General features: G+C 38.4%; 1 annotated feature.

Annotated features, from left to right (window-relative positions):
- Positions 1,855-1,904: an enhancer, noted in NCBI's record as "active region_25022". NCBI's record gives its function as "activates an Ori minimal core promoter by ATAC-STARR-seq in GM12878 lymphoblastoid cells {active_cell/tissue: GM12878}" and the evidence as "EXISTENCE:reporter gene assay evidence [ECO:0000049][PMID:35858748]".

The raw sequence follows: 7,019 nt of genomic DNA on the forward strand, positions 1-7,019 counted from the left end.
TCATTTGTAACTTTGGTCTTTTTTACATAATCTCATGTTTCTTGGAGGTTTGTTTGTTCCTTTTTATTCATTTTTGTCATTTTGTCTGCCTCTCTCATTTCAGAAAGATAATCTTCACATTCTGAGATTGTTTTCTCTGCTTGTTTTATTCTGGTGTTGATACTTGTAATTGCATTGTGAAGTTCTCATGCTATGTTTTCCAGCTCCATAAAATCAGTTATGCTGCTCTCTAAACTGACTATTCTGATTATCAGCTCTTAGCTTGTTTGCATTGGGTTACAACATACTCCTTTACCTCAGTAAAGTTTGTTATTACTCACCTTCTGAAGCCTACTTCTGTCAGTGCAGCCATCTTAGCATCAGTCCATTTCTGTGTCCTTGCTGGATAGATGTTGTGGTCATTTGGAGAAGAAGAGGCCCTCTGGCTGTTTGACTTTTCAGTGATTTTGTGTGTTGATTCTTTCTAATATTTGTGGGCTTATCTACCTTTGATCTTTGAGGTTGCTAACCTTTGAACTGGACTTGAGGTGTCGTTTTTGTTGATGTTGTTGTTGCTTTCTGTTTGTTTGTTTTCCTTTTAATTGTCAGGCCATTCTTCCATAGAGCTGCTTGGTTTCCTGGGGGATTGCTTCAGACCCTAGTTGCCTGGGTTTTTCCCTTACCTGGAGTATCACCAATGAAGGCCACAAAACAGCAAAGATGGCAGCCTGCTCCTTCCTCTGGGAGCTCCATCCCAGGGGTATACTGACCTGTTGCAGGCCTGGACACTCCTATAGGAGGTGTCTGGAGACCCCTATTGGGAGGTCTCACCCAGTCAGGAGAGACAGGATCAGAAACCTGCTTAAAGAAGCAGTCTGGTTGCTTTTTGGTAGAGCAGGTGTGCTGCATTGAGGGGAACCCTTCCTTGTCCAGAACACCTGGACTCTCCAGAGCCAGCAGGCTGGAAAGCCAGAGTTGACTGAACCACAGAGACATTGGCCCCTCTCCTTCACCCCCCAACCCCCCGCAACCCCTGGGGCTCCATCCCAGGGAGAGATCAGAGTTCTGTCATATAACCCTGGCTGGAGTTGCTGAAATTCCCACAGGGGGTACCTGTCCAGTGAGGAGGGATGCATTGGGGTCCCACTTAAAGAAGCAGTCTGGCCATGATCTGGCACAGCAGCTCTTGTTGGGGACTCCTCCTTATTCAGACCGCCTAGACTCCCCAGAGCCAGCAGGCTAAAATAGCCGAGTTGACCTAACCACAGAAATAGTGGCCACCCCTACCCACAGAAACTTGTCTATCTCAGGCAGTCTCCAACCTCTTGCACTAGTTGGCTGGAATTTCAAGCCAGTGGGTCTTAACTTGTGAGGTGCCATGGAAGTGGGGCCCACAGAACAATGCTGCTTGGATCCCTGCATTCAGCCCCCTTCCTAGGGGAATATACAGAAGGATCTCCTGATTTGTCAGGATTCCCAAGGTGGGAGTCTAAAACTCCTGGGTTATCTCTATGTGAACATGAGTGACTGCTCTGCTGAGACTCTGCACAGCTCTGTGTATCAGACCCAAGGCCCTGGTGGTGTGGGCTCACAAGAGGATCTCCTGATTCATGGGTTGCAAAGATCCCTGGGAGAAGTGTGGCTTCCCAGGTAGGGTCACACAATCATTCACCACTTCTCTTGGCTGGGGGTAGGGGTTCCTTTGGCTCCATTGTCACTTTCTGGCAGGTCTTTGCCCCACCTGCTTTTCTTTGTTCTCTGTGGGTCTAGCTGTTTGCCTAGTCAGTCCCAATGTGAGAACCTGAATATTTCAGTTGAAGGTACTGAATTCACTCACCACTTTCATTTCTCTCCGTGATAACTGTGGACTGCAGCTGCTTCTAATATGTCATCTTGCCCCCTTCTATCATTCCTTTCTTTTAAAAAAAATATAGTTTAAGTAACTTAGTGCAGTATTGATTTTGAATAATATAGTAGAAATTCCAGTTTCAGCCTAAACTGTATTCACATCTAGAAATAAGCATATATGGGCATTTCTGAAGAATTGGGAGGGAAGTCCAATCTTATGGAAGTCCATTTTCATGTGTGGTAATTCATCCTGAGAGCTAAAGGAATAATGCATGAGAAAAAAACTGACTTAGTAAGAAAACCTAAAGGAAGGATGAATTTTTCCCTATTTAACATCAGATTACTATGGAAATTTGGCATTTTAAAGATGCAGATTCCTCCTTTGGTGGAGACAGCTAACCCTTGAGAAATACGGTGGTTTTCCATGCATACTGTGTGGGAGAAAGGTGATGCTAGTGGGAACATGTGAGACACTCAGGAAACTTGGATAGGTGGGGCTTGGGAACATTTTGTAAGGGAGCTGAAATGCTCCATGATCAGGTGTGGGTAAATGCTTTGGGCCATTACTATTAATGAAACCTACATTATATGTATGATTATGTACCGAAGTATCTAATCTCAATAAGCACAACTGGTAACCTAGTAAGTGCTGAGTGCTCCTTAATGCTAGCCTTCCCTGGGGGGCTCCTGTAACACACCATATACACTTAGAACTCTGTTCAATTTGTATTCTTCGATCAAAGTCAAGAGGTTTATAAAGAGCACTTAACACTTACATGTTAATCAATTTTGTAATATTTATTCAAAGTGCAAAGTTTGAGGAAAAGTGAACCCCCTTCCTTTCTTGACATGTGTGAAATGATAAATTATTTTCATTCATTACAGATAAAGTTTGTTGAAAATAATACTAAAATGATTTTCTGGAATGTAGAACTAACTTTTATTCTGGAAAAATAATGTGTCTGTCCCATAAAAACTAATTTTCCTTTGTAAATATATTTAATCTCATTAATCATGCTAAATTGTGTGTATGTGTGTGTGTGTTGTGGTGAGAGGGCTGAGGTTTCTAACTTATGTATTTCAAAAGTCATCTTTTTTGAGGTTACATAATTCTTAGGGTTTCCTACATGACTCACAGGAGGTAGAATAAGCTAATATGCAATTTGTATAGCTTGGCATTATATTTTTATTCTTCAGCACATTTTTTTCTCTGTATAAAAACATTAGATTGACTTTCCCTCAGGAGATCTGTCTCAGTATACTTCCAGAAACTATTATTATAACCTCTTTACTTGGCTTATAGTAACCCAGGCCTTTTGCTCTGAGCATTGTTACTAACCATTGTTCTTAACTATTCTAAAATGCTGGTTATTTCTAGAACTCTATGCCTGAGTCAATCTTGTCAGCTGATTTGTTTCCTTCTTAGATTTGACATTCACCCCTGAGACTCTCCGTCCTCAAAGTCTGTAATACTTTTCACTGTTCTCGGCACACCCCCTATTCCTCTGTTGTGAAAAAACACCTGGCATTATAACAGGAAAAGTTGTGGGTGGAGATTGAACAGACTTGGGAAGTCCAGGGGTGAAACAGTGATGCCAGGACAGGTAAAGGTGGCATGACTTGGGCAGGCAAAGGAAACTGAGGTTGAGAAATGGAAAGTCACCTAATTAAAGTCAGTTAACTAGCAAGTGGTAGACAGCCCTGGGTACCAAGCCTGTGAGAGTGCTCTGTAATCTCCTCTCAACTTATCTGGGTCTCTCTTGTACTACAGCTCAGTAAAGAGAAGCAATAGTATCATGCTTACAACTGTATCCCAGGTCATAGGTCTGGAACTGGGTAAGACTTGATAAATACTGTGAAATTCATTAATGAGTAAAGAATAATATGCTTGCATTAAAAACCCACTATCTTTCTCTATGTTATGCCCTTCTTAAAAGTCATACAAAGAAAGTGCTCCTTCCCTTGTTTCAGTGGAAGTGGTAGTGGAGAAGTTCTGAGACAAGGAAGATATGAAAAATAACAGACATACGTGCAAAATGGAAATGTAACTTACTTGCCTCTGATTATGAAGGCAGAAATGAACAAACACCTGTAATTTGAGATGACTTCACCTTTGGGCAGATGACTTCATCTATTCTTTTCTATTGGAAAAATTACCCCAGTGACACAAATATACAGCAAAGACTCTCTTCGTTTAGAAAAGATTGAGGTTTTAATGGCTAGTAGGCACTAAACCGCTCCTCACAATAAGAAAAGTTACCCATGATACAGAGTTCATCTCTTAGAGTCTTTTACCCATAGACAAATGGTCCTTTCCATGGCTGGATTTAGGCTACCCTGTTTTGTATAAACTTACAGATGGCTCTTGTCCGCTGTGAGTTTGTAAAGCAGTTGACCACAGAGAATACAGGTTAGATTCCTTAAGACTGCAGGAGAGATCTTTAGGCCTCGTGTCAACCTGAAAGCCCTCATGAAACAAAGACCTCATAAGGCACAGTGAACAAGACCTGGACAGGGCTGTTGATGAATAATTCAGAGTTCAGGAATAAATTTAAACTGATTTCTTACATGGATTGAACTCAGCAGGGTACCACCAAGAAACAGGGTTTTTCAATCTTAACACCACCAATTAATTAAATATTGTAGAATCAATCTTTCCTACCCTGTCTCAGCATTTTGAGAAGATTACATTGCTTTTCAGTTATTTGCAGATATTGAAACCTAAAATCTAGTCTAATTCAAAATTCTAATTTTACTTGCAATTTAGTGCTTCTCTCTTTCCTTTAGTGCAAGACTAGCCCAAGGTCTGAGAACAAGGGTGGGAAAGAGAAGGAGATACACACACACACCACAGAGACAGGAAGACAGAATCTAAGAGACAGAATGTGAGACAGAGCTAGAGAACCTATGCAAACACCTGAAGTTACTAAGAAAGTACCACTCACGAGTGTAGAATATCTCCCTTTAGTGCGACAATAACAATGGCATTTAAAAAAAAGATTTACAGTCCCACCAACAGTGTAAAAGTGTTCCTATTTCTCCACATCCTCTCCAGCACCTGTTGTTTCCTGACTTTTTAATGATTGCCATTCTAACTGGTGTGAGATGGTATCTCATTGTGGTTTTGATTTGCATTTCTCTGATGGCCAGTGATGATGAGCATTTTTTCATGTGTTTTTTGGCTGCATAAATGTCTTCTTTTGAGAAGTGTCTGTTCATGTCCTTCGCCCACTTTTTGATGGGGTTGTTTGTTTTTTTCTTGTAAATTTGTTTGAGTTCATTGTAGATTCTGGACATTAGCCCTTTGTCAGATGAGTAGGTTGCGAAAATTTTCTCCCATTTTGTAGGTTGCCTGTTCACTCTGATGGTAGTTTCTTTTGCTGTGCAGAAGCTCTTTAGTTTAATTAGATCTGATTTGTCAATTTTGTCTTTTGTTGCCATTTCTGTAAATTAGTTCAACCATTGTGGAAGTCAGTGTGGCAATTCCTCAGGGATCTAGAACTGGAAATACCATTTGACCCAGCCATCCCATTACTGGGTATATACCCAAAGGATTATAAATCATGCTGCTATAAAGACACATGCACACGTATGTTTATTGCGGCATTATTCACAGTAGCAAAGACTTGGAACCAACCCAAATGTCCAACAATGATAGATTGGATTAAGAAAATGTGGCACATATACACCATGGAATACTATGCAGTCATAAAAAATGATGAGTTCATGTCCTTTGTAGGGACATGGATGGAAATTGGAAATCATCATTCTCAGTAAATTATCGCAAGAACAAAAAACCAAACACCACATATTCTCACTCATAGGTGGGAATTGAAGAATGAGATCACATGGACACAGGAAGGGGAATATCACACTCTGGGGACTGTTGTGGGGTGGGGGGAGGGGGAGGGATAGCATTGGGAGATATACCTAATGCTAGATGACGAGTTAGTGGGTGCAGTGCACCAGCATGGCACATGTATACATATGTAACTAACCTGCACAATGTGCACATGTACCCTAAAACTTAATGTATAACAAAAAAAAAAGATTTAAAAAATCAGGCAGAAATTTCTGTTTAGATCTTTAAAATGTAACAACAGAAATCCTTTATTTATTTATAAAATAATTTAAATAATAATTTATATAATATAAATTTAATATAAAAATATTTGTTTTATTCCTTTTCAAACCATTACTCCTGTGGCATTGTGTGAAATGTTTTGAGTGATAATGACAGCAGGGGGTTTTCATATTATTTCAAATATATAGAATATATGTATGAAAGCATAAATAACATGCCTGCATCACTGCAAAGTTGGAGTGTAGAAGCTGAGAACTTGGAATTGGTGAGTAGTGATATAGACTGAAGTTACCCTGAAGGGTTAAATAAGACATACTAATGAATATTTATGTTCTCAACAAATATGTGAAGAATTTCTACTATTTGTTTATGGCTAAAATTGCTGTACCTAACTAAGGTTAGAGACATCAAGAAATAGAAACATTTGAATGTGTCCAAAATTCAATTGACAATAGTAGTTTTATAAGCACTCTAATAAGCAGTGCTCCCACTAAACAAAAGTTAATATTGATGTCACGATGCATATATATATATATATATATATACATATATATATGAGGCATATATACACATCATGATATATATATATATATGATAGATGAGAATAAATTTCCATGGTTTGCTGGTAAACCTTTTAATTAAAAATTATTTATTTTCTTACTTAAAAACTTATATGTGATGTCCAGTATGTAAAGTTAGGAAAGATAAATTTAAAAAAAGGAACATAAGAACTAAAATCACCTGGTATTCTACCATTTAGAAATAGCAAATGTTCAATGTCTGATGAATTCTATGTAGTTTCTTTTTCTTTGCAAATATAAGTCTATCTACATATTTTACAAATGTGGCATATAAAGTTATATTTTTAAAATTTGAATTTGTTTCTTATCTCATGGTTTTTAAATAAACAAACCATATTTTTGCTATTATAAATAGTGCTACAATAAAAATTTTTGCATATGTCTCTTAGGTACATACAAGATCATCATTGTTATATCTTTTTAGTGGAATTATACTTTTATGTATTTATCTCTTTTAATGAATTTTGCCTTAACTTGTATCTTATCTACAATTAACATTCTACCTGAACTTTCTCTTGGTTGGTTTA

The sequence above is a fragment of the Homo sapiens genome, chromosome 6 (assembly GCF_000001405.40).
Source record: "Homo sapiens chromosome 6, GRCh38.p14 Primary Assembly".
NCBI lineage: Eukaryota > Metazoa > Chordata > Mammalia > Primates > Hominidae > Homo > Homo sapiens.